The 13,106-nt window shown below is 33.3% G+C and overlaps 1 protein-coding gene across 57 annotated transcripts in view; it reads right to left on the bottom strand.

The window, feature by feature from the left end:
* The window catches only part of MPDZ (multiple PDZ domain crumbs cell polarity complex component), a 173,986-nt gene that overhangs the window by 103,390 nt on the left and 57,490 nt on the right, over positions 1-13,106 (bottom strand). For all 57 annotated transcript variants that reach the window (NM_001375425.1, NM_001375420.1, NM_001375419.1 and 54 more), the window contains 4 exons: positions 12,276-12,404; positions 10,463-10,672; positions 8,084-8,198; positions 7,678-7,766 (listed from right to left, as the gene is read on the bottom strand). In NM_001375425.1, coding sequence (NP_001362354.1) covers positions 7,678-7,766; positions 8,084-8,198; positions 10,463-10,672; positions 12,276-12,404 — 543 coding nt within the window. The remainder of the gene's footprint in view (positions 1-7,677; positions 7,767-8,083; positions 8,199-10,462; positions 10,673-12,275; positions 12,405-13,106) is intronic.

Below are 13,106 nucleotides of genomic sequence, written 5' to 3' on the forward strand. Positions count from 1 at the left end.
AGAAGAAACTTCAGCAAAAAACAAAAAACACCCTCTCATTAAGTGAGGCAATCAGATGGTATATGTGGATCCTAACCAGTAACTCCAAGAAACACACCAAGTACTAAAGGCCATACTAAGCTGGGTTGCATGTAATAGCACAGAATTACTTTATTTGTAATAAAAATTACCTTAACCACACATGTGTGCATACAAGCACACACACAACTCCAAATAACTCCTGGCTATCAGAGCAAACACAGAAAACAAAAACAGGCAAAATCCCCCAGTGTGATCCTCTACCACTGGTTTCCTCTTCATTTTGTTAATCTACAAATGAATCAAGTGAAGCTACAGTAAATTTAAACTTTCCCCTTCCCTGTCACTTTGTCAATTCTTAAAACATCTGGAAAAAAACCATACAATCTGCAGCAGAACCCATCTCAACTTCTATCTGTATAAGCCCAGTTATTTTTGAGAATGACCAAGGGTCATGGAATGTGAAATATCACGGTCCAAAAGCAGGTTGCACACTGAAGATCGGTGCATGTATCTTCCTATGAAGTTGTTATTGCAGTGAACAGGAAAAAAGATATTTCCTGAAACTTACTATCAAAATAGTTCACATTTCCTTGTATTTATGGAAGCAGGAATTACAAAGAAGAAACAAGTATCTACCCCCCAAAAAAAAGAAAAAGAAAACTTACAATGAAGGCAGTCAACAAGATTTTAAGTACTGCAAAAACAAAGTCCAGGTCATGCATGCAATTTTCCCATAGCTCAGAGGAAAAGAATAAACCGATAAAAAATGATCAGAAACAAGGCTGGAGACTCATAGGCTGAGCTAGGAAATCCAACACACTAATAAAAGAAATTATAAGGAGAAGATGATAAATGAGGGGGAAAAAAATCAAAGAAAGGATTAGGGAGAAGGGAAACTTACCCAACTCTACAAATCAAAAAGGCACATGAAAAAACAGAAAATGATGAGAAATTACAAAAAAAAAAAAACCTCACACCTGAATGTATCCTGGTAAAATTCTTATATTTCAAAGATAAAAAGAAAAAAGATCTACCAGCCTCTAGGCAGCAAAGAGAGAGACTAGGTTATCTGTACAATTGTGGAAAAGAAATTACAAACCAAGAATCTTATACTTAGTGTGATGTATGAGAAAACAGAAATTGTGCTTGAGATGCTATGATTATTAATATCCTATATCAAAGCAAGTTGTAAAAAGGGCCACCAAGCGGAAATTTAAACTAGGTGGTAAAGAACTACAATTCACACACATTCAGGGCATAAAAGAACTAAGTGTTGTTAAATGTTAAGAAAAACTTAAGAGGAAGTTTTTTTTTTTTTTTAAGAGGAAAGAATGCTATATACCCTACCCACCCAGGTATTTCCCCCTTGACTTCAAGTCCAAAGTCACCTGCAGAAGAGGCAATGCAGCAGATTGTGTCTAATGCCATCAGGAGGATAAGGAAGAGGTTGTTTAGCTGCTTTGACAGTGGAGCCAGAGGAAACTTCTGTTATGTTGGGAGCTGCTCACCTCCCTGACTTTGTCTGGGCATAGACCACACAGGAGTGAGCCAGGCTCAAGTCATTTTGAAACCTACTACAGGACTCCAAGGGAATGATGGGACTCAAAAGAGACAATCTATGAAACAGACTGCTGAGAAATCAGGGGCCAGTGGGAAGAAGAGTCAGCTACGTTAAAAATCCATCATCTGTTATTCATGGAAAATTAAGCCAAATATACCTCCACTGGAATCTTCCAAGAGCCCAAGAAGAAACCCTCAGAGATAGTCAGTTCTGAACATCTGCCAGGCTCACTTAGCACAAAGCCATCTTTCAGCAGTCAGACAAAATGCCCCTTCCTTCTTCCTTCTCTTCTCTCAACTTTTACACCATAAAAGCCAAAATAAGGTGTGGGCAGAAAAGAAAAATTAGGTGGGGAGAGACAGACTGAGTGATATACCCTCTATCTCTAGGTAAGCCATCAGTTCATAGCGGGCTTCTAATATGCCAGGGGGTTCATTTGAAATTAGACTATTATTTAGTATGGGAAAAATTTTATTACTAATTTGCAACTGTGTCTGATTATTTTGATTGGCCACAGGATAACTTACTCTACAAGAATACCCCAAGACATGAAGACTTGCCTAAGAGTTCTTCTAGGGGAAAGGGAAGAACCTTCCCCATTAAAAATTAAAAGGGGCAGTTGATGACAAAATTTTTTAAGTTAAGATTATACCTAATAAATCCTCTTTGTCCAACATATTTGTTATCACCAACTAAATAGTCAAAATATAAGAAGTCAACACAAGAGGTTCTCAGAGACAAAAAGTTTAGAAAGTCCGCTAAAACATTCTCTTTCTGTAAAGTTTACTCAAAACACTCCAGCCAAATGAGTTTAATTGGATTTAAAATTCAAACTAAGAAATCTGTAGTATACAAGATACAGTGCTGAGCAACAAAATAAGTAAAATTCAAATCTAAATAATAGTATTACAGCAACAAAATAGAATTTAAATGTTTCATGTCCTTAAAAGAAATATAAGGTAGTATGTAATAATCTGTCTGTAACAACAAACTGTAAACAACATAACGATCCATGATTAAGCCTGCTTCAATATATCACAACAGACCTACATGTGCTTACATAACTACCTTTCCCAGGTAAGTTTTTAAGTAAAATAAAAAGGTATAGGCAAATATAATATGATGCTATTTAAGTATAAATACATAGAATTTTTCTAAATTTTAAACCATAAACTATTATTAGTGGCTATTATGAGTGGTTTCTATGAGAAGGCTTTTTAACCATGTTCAAATTTTATATTCTTTAAACCTTAAAGACAAAAATTAATGTAAAATAAATGAACATGTTATTTACTCTCACAGTAATAAAGGAAAAAAATGGCAAAAATCTCCATGTTGGGGCTCCATGAAAATTCATAAAATGCATAGAACTTTAGGCTGTTTTTTATCTGCAAAACATTCTTATTGTTCAATTCTATCTAAAAGTGAAGTTTTATTTAGAAAAATCTAATGTGTATGATTTTGTTTATTTAATAACAACTTAAAATATGTTTAAAAACTGTGTTTTTTTCCTTTATCTTCTGAACTTGATGACTTGGATTTTAAAATGTATTCCTTACTCAAATGACAGAGAATAATACTAGCACAGAAGAAACTGCTATAATGGAACAGTCATGAACTTTTAAACCTAGACTTCTGTTCAAATGTCTTAGTTACCTTCATCTGTATTATGGAAATAAGATCTATTTTCCAAGAATTATACCACATGGCACTTTGTACTGGGAAGATACTCAGAAGCTGGTTATTAAAAGAGTAAAGAAGTGAGTAATAAACATAAAAATCTCCAAGGCTTTTCTGGGAGAGGTTTTTGTTCAATATAATCACACCCATGCTACATATGAGCCAAAGTCACGAAGCCTAAGGGGTCCTGGTTAGCTCTGGTTCCCCTTTATCACAAGAGAGTCAAGAAGTCAGTTCAGAACCCATGGTACCACAGAGAAGAGTGCAGTAGAACTAGGTAGTATAATGGCAGCAAATTGCCTATGTGCTATCTCATGAAAAGAAGAGATCCAGGCCAGGTGCGGTGGCTAATACCTGTAATCACAGCACTTTGGTAGGCAGAGGCGAGAGGATCTGTCAAGCCCAGGAGTTCAAGACCACCTGGTCAAGGTTTAAAAAAAAAAAAAAAAAAAAAAAGAAGAGAGCCAACATCCTCGTAGTGTGCACTGCAGACACTGCAATTAACAGGAACAATTACAGGGGAGAAATACTAGTTGGAACAACTTACAAAATCTGGCCCCTGAGCATACTCAACCTAGGTTGCCAGGGCCTCCTCCAACATATCCTATACGTATAAAGAGAGAACTTCAATCTATGAACACAGTCACAGAAAACCAAAGGCAACGTTTGACACTTTTCCTTATTTATATGCTTATTTAATAATTTTTATCAATCATAATTTCCTACTGCTTTTAGCATATTGAATATCAAACTAAAAAGAATGAGTGTTTTTATCTAATGACAAGTTTGTTCAACTTTTTGAAAAAACAACAGACTCCTTTTGTCAAATAGTCAAATTATTTAAAGAATACCAACATATGAAATGGGAAAAATGGAGACATTCAGTCTATTCCTTGTCACTGTAATGCCTACAGTGAAACCCTGTTGACCCAGGGGTCCACAGAACACAATGTGTAAAACAAGAACCTTATAACAAAATATTTTTAAGTTACAAAATAACTCTTCAAAATAGTAAGAAATAATTTCTTAATCTCATCACTTCAACAACTACAAAATAAAAATAGATTATACTCCTAATAGCTGCTGTCAAAACAAAAATCGAACAAATAACAGACAAAGACTGCAGTTGTGAAAATGCAACTGGATGTGAAGAACATTACTGCAAATATCTCAAAAGTCCACAAGATGGTGATATTTAGTAAAAAATTAATACATGTTCAAAAGCATTGCATGATGTTCTCCAGGAATTTAAAATGCTTATATCTTTGTAGTAAAAGAATGTTTGCTAAAAATTAAAAATCAGAATATTGATGAGTGAAGTCAAGTGATTTTATTGAAAGCAAGAAAACAATTCAGAGAAAAGATTCTTCCACCTTTGCATCAACAATTTCCTTCATCACTGACCTTGCCTAAGAGGAATTATATTTGAGATTCCACTTATATAAGAATGAAGATAATGACAAATTTAGGGGGAAGTTATCATGAGACTCTTTCAATGATAGCCCTCAATAAATAATATCTGCTTAATTATTAAACTGCTATCAGATATCTGCTATCAGATATTGTCAATAAAATACTCATTTGATTTTCCTGAATATCACACAAGAGAAGTTTCCTTATCCCAACTTTGTAAGTGAAGAAACTGAATCAGGGCATTTGGTAACTGGTAAAACACAGAATTATCATAAGATTCAGCAATTCCACTCCTAAGTATACACCCAAGAAAAATGAAAACATATATGTACATAAAAGCTTGTACGTGAATGTTCACAGCAGCATTATTCATAACAGCTAAAAAGTAGAAACAACCCGAATGTCCATCAATTGATGAATGGGTAAATAAAATATGGTATATCCATATAAAGGAATATTATTCAGCAATAAAGGGAAATGAAGACTGAAACATACTACAATACAGATGAAACTTGAAAGCATTATGCTAAGTGAAAGGAGTCAGTCACAAAGAACCACATCTTGTATGATTCCATTTACAGGAAATATCCAGAACAGGCAAATCCATAGAGACAGAAAGTAGATTGGTGGTTGCCCAGGACTGGGAGAATGGGGGAGAAGGTGACTGCTAAGGGGTACTGAAAATGTTTTTAGGGTTCTGAAAAATGTTCTAGAATTCACCATGGTAGTGAACGCACAACTCTGTGAATACACTAAAAGCTACTGTACTGTACATTTTAAATGGGTGAATTGTATGGTATGTGAATTACATTTCAATCAAGCTTATTTTTTTAAAAGTTTTCTAATTGATTAATATAGATTACTTAGGAGAAAAAAGTAAATTAGCTATGCTTTCAATTTGTAATTCAGCATCAGATATGGATTTAGACTCCGTATGTATTCCTTCTGTCTTTCACTTTCCCTCAAAACAAAAACATGTACAGTAATTCATTTACATTGTATGGTAAAATGGAGATACACAGAGAAAGCTCACTTCGGGCATATAGCCAGATGAGGTGGCAAGCACAACTTGATCTTTAGTGTAGATCTGAAGAGGTGAACAGGTGTAGGTAGGAGTTTCACAGAACAAAACCCAAGAAGACTCACGGAGTTATAATGTGGACTTAAAGGGAGAGATAAAGGACTCCTCCATTTTTTAAAATCGTGGTAGAAAAACACAATATTTACCATCTTACCCATTTTGAATAGTACAATTCAATAGTGCTAAGTATATTCACATCATTGTGCAACAGGTCTCCGGAATTTTTTCATCTTGCAGAACTGCAGAAATATACCCATTGAACAACTCCTCATTTCCCCTCTCCCCAGTCCCTGGGAGCCACTAATCTACTTTGTGTTTCTATAAGTCTATTTTAGATACTTCATATCAGTGAAATCGTACAGTATTTGTCTTTTTGTGACTTATTTCACTTAGCATAATGTCCTCAAGGTTTTTCAGTGCTGAAGCATGTGATAAGATTTCCTTCTCTTTAAAGACTGAATAACATTCTATTGGATATATATATATCACATTTTGATATATATATATCAATATGTGTGTATATATAGCAATATGTGTCTATATATCTATATATGTCAACATATATATCAATATGTGTGTATATATGATATATATATATATATCACATTTTGTTTATCCATTCATAGATATTTGGGTTGCTTCCATGTCGTGGCGAGTGTGAATAATATTGCTATGAATAAGGACTCCTCTACCTTAATATCCTACTTTCTCACTATTATTAAGATTCTAAGGGAACAACAGAAACTTAAGCATAAACAAATACCTAATAAGATAAATCAGCATTCCCTCAAGATGTCTTTCAAAGAATATGAATATATGTTTGGAAAAATAAAGACCTCACAATTACAAAAGTTTAGTAAACACTAAGGTAAAACAGATAAACAGGTTTCTCTATTGCAGGTTTTTTTTTTTTTTTTTTTTTGTCTTTTTTTAGAGGCAAGATCTCATTCTGCTGCCCAGGCTGGAGTGCAGTGGTGCAATCATAGCTCACTATAGCCTTGAACTCCCAGACTCAAGGAATCCTCCCACCTTGGCCTCCCAAGTAGCTAGGACTACAGGCAGACAACATCATGCCCAGCAATTCAGCAATTTGTTTTTTTTTTTTTTTTTTTTTTTTAGAGATAGGATCTGCCTGTGTTGGGATTACAGGCATGAGCCACCAGCTCAGTGAAGACACCCAGCTGTCTTCAATTTTTCTATGTGCACTGTGAATTCATACAAGACTATATTGTAGGCAGTTTTCCCTTAAACTTATTTGATAAGGAAGTTTTGTTGCAGGGTCTCTTGAATTTCTGTTTCAGGCTGCAGTCTGGGGAGTCCGGTATCAACTGAACACTGAAATTAAAGTTGGGCTCTTCTGTACAGTGCCTTGAATAGCCATGTTTAAAACACATTGATGTTACAACGATAACAATGATAGCTTGAACTAATTACAAGAAGCTAGGTTTTTTTTTTTTCATTCTTATATATCCTCAGGGCTGAAAGCAGCCGCGGCCATAAAGCCAACAATAACAGTATCATTCTGCTGATTAAAAAAAAAAAAACAATGCAGGCATCCCTAATTCATATTCCAATACCCTAAAGGTACTGGACATCTGGTCTCTACCTCTGGAGTATCTGCAAGGAACGTATAAGTGTAATATTAATGTAATAAATTCATTACAACCAGAAATTAGATATATCAGGAATTATTCAAGAAGGAAGTCTCCCGTTTGGAACTGAGATGAGTAAAGCTTATATCCAATACCCTTATTTTACTTCCACAAAATAATAGAAAGGGTAATTGTAATAATAGCCTCAAGTCACCAAAAAAGCTTAAATTAGTACAGAGTTAACTCTAGCTCTCAAAACTAAGTAAACTAGGAGAATACAATTCTCAACCATGAAAATTAACAAAGCTATTGTTAAATGTGTAACTTACTGCTATAATTTGGTCTCCAATTTGGATTCTTCCATCATGCTCAACGGCACTGCTTTTTGTAATGCTCTTTACAAAGATTCCTGAAGGTTCTAAGATTAGAAATAGTTTATTTTTCACAATTTTCAAAGCACATTCAAAGAATATCCATCTTCGATTCTCCAACTATAAAGCTCTAATTCAGAATAAATACGTATCATCTAGTAGAAACACAGGCTAAAGAATAAGATAATTGTTTTGTCTGTCTTAAATACAATATAAGAGTCACCTACACTAAATTATTCCTAAGGAAGTTTTCAACCAGTTTATCCAACAACCTGAAACATGTAATATCAACTCAATATTTTATAAGAGATAGATATCAGAGGTAATTGTCAAGTTTAAAAGAATACTTAATGTTTAAAATTACCCAATTTTTTATCTCCAATGTAGCCAGCAATGGTAATTCCTAATCCTTGGACATTTTTAGTGAGTTCTACATCAAATGTCTCACTTTCTTCACCTTTCTGAGTAGAAGCATCAACCTAAAATAAAATCAATAAATATACAGTGAAATAATACGTAAAAAAAACAAAAAACAAAAAACAAACAAACAAACAAAAAAACCATGATAAAATAAAGCCACAGGCCTACTTTAATTCTCTAGCAAAGAATTATAGCAGAGACGATTCCTTTAATCCTGAAAACAGGGATAGGCATCATCATATTTTTGCTCAGAAAGGGATATCAGGCAGGAATAAGGTTGAACCTTCCCTTATCAGAGAATACATTATTGTTTGCGTACAATAAATTTTAAATCAAACAGGTTTTTTTTAGCAAATTCTATTTTCAGAGATGGCTCATCTTAATTTCTGGAGAAGTCAGGATGCAGTACATCTGAAAGAACTAATGTTATGAATTCAGATCAACAAGTTAAATCTAGCTTTGCCACTTCATCTAGAAAGAAAATATCACTTTGGTCAACTATCAGGAAAAGAATAACAACAACTAGACCAGCTACCATTTATTGAGCAGTTTGTGTGTAACTCAGGATTAAGACTCTACATGTCTTAATTCATTATTCCTCATAATTCCTCATAATTCAGCATCCTGAATGATAACTGAAAGTGGGTTTCTCAGATGCCACCTTCTCTAATGTGTAGAGTTGTTACAAATTCTATGTTGGACTGAAGAGCAAGTCTCCCTAAAATTAAGCATTAGTTGATTGGTACAATATATCATCAATAAGCTATTGGTACTATGTATTAGCATGGTGTCAGCAGATCCTACAGAGAACCTTAAGAAGAGCACAAAGAAATCAAAGCTATAGATTCTAATGGACAGTCAGGTTGGGGCTAGCTGATGTTTTCTAATTTCTTTAAACAAACTCTGACAGTCCACTTAAATGAGATATAATTTTACAGTAAAGTTTGATTTATTTTTTTCATTGCACATAATTATCTGTGCAAACTTAGCAAAAGTTTAAAGTTTAGATAATTACAAGAAAATGACAGGATGAAATCTGCTTCAATTGAAACAAATGTGTTTTCTATTTTTAATAAGACTTATGCGAGTGCTATTTTAGAGAGTGGCAATTTGACTATCGAATGGTTTTAAAAGGGGCACAAGCTTCAGAAATGATGATATGCACAGAACAGATATTTTTCTAAGCTTTCAATTACATCAAGTGGTTTTCGGTATTGCATTCATTTATATATCGCTGAATAAAATGTTTTGTTTACCATAAAAGAATGCCATTTAAACACTTTCATAAACAAGCATTCTTTACTTCTTTCTCTTTGCAAAAAATAGCAACCAAATTCAATCCTAAAAACAACAGAATCATGGAAATTACAAGTGTTCTAATAAAGTTTTAAAGGGCTTGTGGAGGAGGTTAGGATATTAAAAAAGAATTTGTAGCAACTGCTTAGAAAAAACTTTAATAGAACAAAACATAGATTTTTTACATCTATGGGAAAAGAATATAGGACGTGTATTTACTATAAGGCTTATCTAGAAACTGGGTGTAATTCTTAAATATTTAAGAGACTTCTGGATAAATTATTTTGTTGATATTTATCCTCTGTAGTCTTGCGACCTGTAAATCTGCTGAGATACCCACTACTTTCCAATAATTTTGAAATTCTCTAGCTTTTTTCATATCAAGTTGACAAGGATGGAATGCTATGCATATGAATAAAGTTTTTGTTATAACACCAAAAGAATAACTTTTGTTTAAAAAATTATATAACTGGGTCAGAATAATGACTACTTATTACAAATCTGATAACAGTTCTAAGACATACTTTAAAACAATAACACTAAAAGGTTTTAGTAAGCCTTATTCATACTCACCAAGCCTGCCCCCACTCCTCAACCTCCACACATTCAAAACAAAAACAAAAATACTAATGGGAAAGTTGATGAAAGAGAATGATTAGAACTATGACCCACCTTACAGAGAGTCTTCTAACTGAGAAAAAGACAGAATTAAACATTTTAGGTATCAGTACCAAATAATTTTTAAACTTTTACCCATACTTTAAAACATTATCCTCATAAATATGCTGCTTAAATAAAAATGTAAAATAATCTAGCATGTTTAAGCAACCTATTTTTCATTTGTTTTACACATTATTCCTGATTAATAAAATATCATTAGTGCTAAAGCATCCCTACATTTGAATTTCATTCCATTCTTTAGCACTAATATAGGAACATTAGTAAGTCTAGTTTCTAAGTAAACATCACTGTCGTCATCTAAGTGTTATTTCTCTGACTTTCACATTAACTACTCTTAACTACTTACCCGCAACTCTGGTGTTGAAGTTGGGGATGAGGAGAGGGTGATGCCCAAAGCAGTGGGTGCTGTACGTTCTTCTATGGCACCTCTTGCAATCATCAACTTAACTCTATTTCCACATTGCCTAAGGACTTGTGCTACTTGCTCACTGCTCATTCCTGCTAGATCTGTGTCACCAATCTTTAGAATGTGGTCTCCACTGCATAAACGCCCATGCTGAGTAAAACAATATTGAATAATTAGACTATTATTATTTTAACTGCAACAGATAAATCCTAAATGAGAAGGGATTAATTTTAGAAAAGCAATAATATGAGTTACCAATCAGGACATAAAATAAAACACATGGGTATAATATTAACTGTCTTTTGAAACATCCTAACATCATTCAGTGTGATGCAATAAATGAAATTCACATATAGTCTTTAAATCAATAGTCCATATGAACTTTTCATTTTGATTCTACCTACCAAGAGTTCATATGAACTTTTCACTTTGATTTCTACCTAAATGCCTTTTTGTGAATTTTTTGGAGGGAAAGAAGAAAATGCCCTTAAGCAAAGTTGTATATAAATCACCATGCAAATATATATTACCTAAAATGTGGTATAAACCACAAGAAAGCATTATATTAATATCACAACTTTCTGCCTGGCTATTTCTATTATAAATGTCCCAAAAGAACTCATGTGCAGGTGAAATACTTGTGAAGTGAAAATTCAGAAAGATGTGAGGAGTGAAAAGCAGTCTTATGAGCCTCCATACACATGCAGTCCATTAACTTTCTGCAATGATGGAACTCTTCTGCACTACTCAATACAATAGCTACGGAGATCTTGAAATGTGGCTAGTCCAACTGAGAAGCTGAACTTGTAATTTCATTTAATTTTAATTAACTTAAATTTTAATTTTAAAGGTGATATGCAGACAGCTACAATATTGAAGAGTGCAGCTCCACATTGAAGATAAAGCATGTAAATATCACATGCTAGTCAACGAGAGACATTTCATTTGATGCTGCTAGATGCTAACTAATGTTTAAAAGGAAGAAAAATTTGCATACTATTATATTACCGTTAACACCCCTACTGACAAGGTTGCCATTAAACAGGAATTTCATTTATGAATACAGGGAATATTTGATGAGCTGGACTTCCTACTTTAAGTTCAAACACACATGTATAAACAACCACTTTATTTTTTAAAAAGTTATAATCAAGGCAAAACTTACTTAAACCAGTAAGCCTTATCAAATTAAGATATAAATCATAACAAATGTGTTAAATCTTTTCTCACATATATTGCAACAATGTCACATATCATAAATGGTAATGCCTCAATAAACTACTCAAGTGATAAAAAACAGGCTGTGTTTCATACACAAAGATGATACCAATGACCCATCACTAAAGGAACAAGGTGAATGTTGTTTTTCTGCCTGAATACAAAAGTATATTTTCCCACAATACCCTGTGACTATAAAACAGCTGACTAGGTATATAAATACGAATTATGACTATAAAACAAATAGTAGCTACCTCCACAATTATCAAATCCATAACCTTGGCTTTAGTCTGAGGTTCAAAAGTGTTAAACTCATTGTCTAAAACTATAACTTAAGATTACTGTCCCTTTTCAAAGGTATTCCTCCCCTAGGTCTAAGACAACATTTTAGGGACACTCAATAAAACGAAAGATTCTAACTCAATTTCTTTGGCATCATTTAAGGCCAAAGTTTCTTCTTTCCAACAAAAAAATGTAAAAGATGTACCCATATTATTTGATAAAATAGCATAAAAGATCTATTGATGTAGCCTACCTGATCAGCTACTCCTCCAGGCAGAATGGTTTTTACTATCACACCAGTTGCTTTTCCTCCTATGATGCCAAATCCCAAACCAGATCCATCATTCACCAATTCAATCGTTTCCATGTGTTGCCAGTGAACCTACAAACAAAGCTCATATATGAATTTGTAGAAATTTACAAAGCACTACCATTTTACATTACAGTAGAAATTTTTGCGATTATTTTGTTAATATTAAATAATTAAATTCAGACATAATAATGAGTCCTAACAATGTCCCTTTCATTTGGTATACTTCCCTTTCAACAGAATGTAAGTGCCATTGACAGAATCATTCTTGAAATTATCAATATATCATCATAATGATTTCACTTCAACAGTTAAAGACAGGCATTGATTTGCAAGATCTTTTGTAGAACTTCTTTAAAAAAAAAGAAAAAGTTCAAAGAAAAAAAAAGGTCACATGTTAAGAATGTCTTCTGCATAATCCTGCCTTGAGGCAGGATTCCAAATTAGATGACTTCTTAAAAGTTACTGACAGCTAACTCTAACAATATAATTGTATAATTTTTAAAGCAAAATCAAGCTTGTATCTGTCTACAGATAAAGTCAATTTTGTTAAAGGACTACATTTTTCATTTTTAAGGAATGCTGTCAAAGGACAAAACTACACAAAGAAAAGTAATTGTTGTTTTAGAACTTAGAAGCTTTATCATGCTTAAAGAACAAATATTCCAGGCTGGGGAAAAATAAAAGAATAGTCAGACAAAAACTCAAGAAGTGCAAAGACCCTACACAAATTAGAAACTTGGAGATAACCAAAAACAACTTGAAAAATACGTT

Source organism: Homo sapiens, chromosome 9 (assembly GCF_000001405.40).
Source record: "Homo sapiens chromosome 9, GRCh38.p14 Primary Assembly".
NCBI lineage: Eukaryota > Metazoa > Chordata > Mammalia > Primates > Hominidae > Homo > Homo sapiens.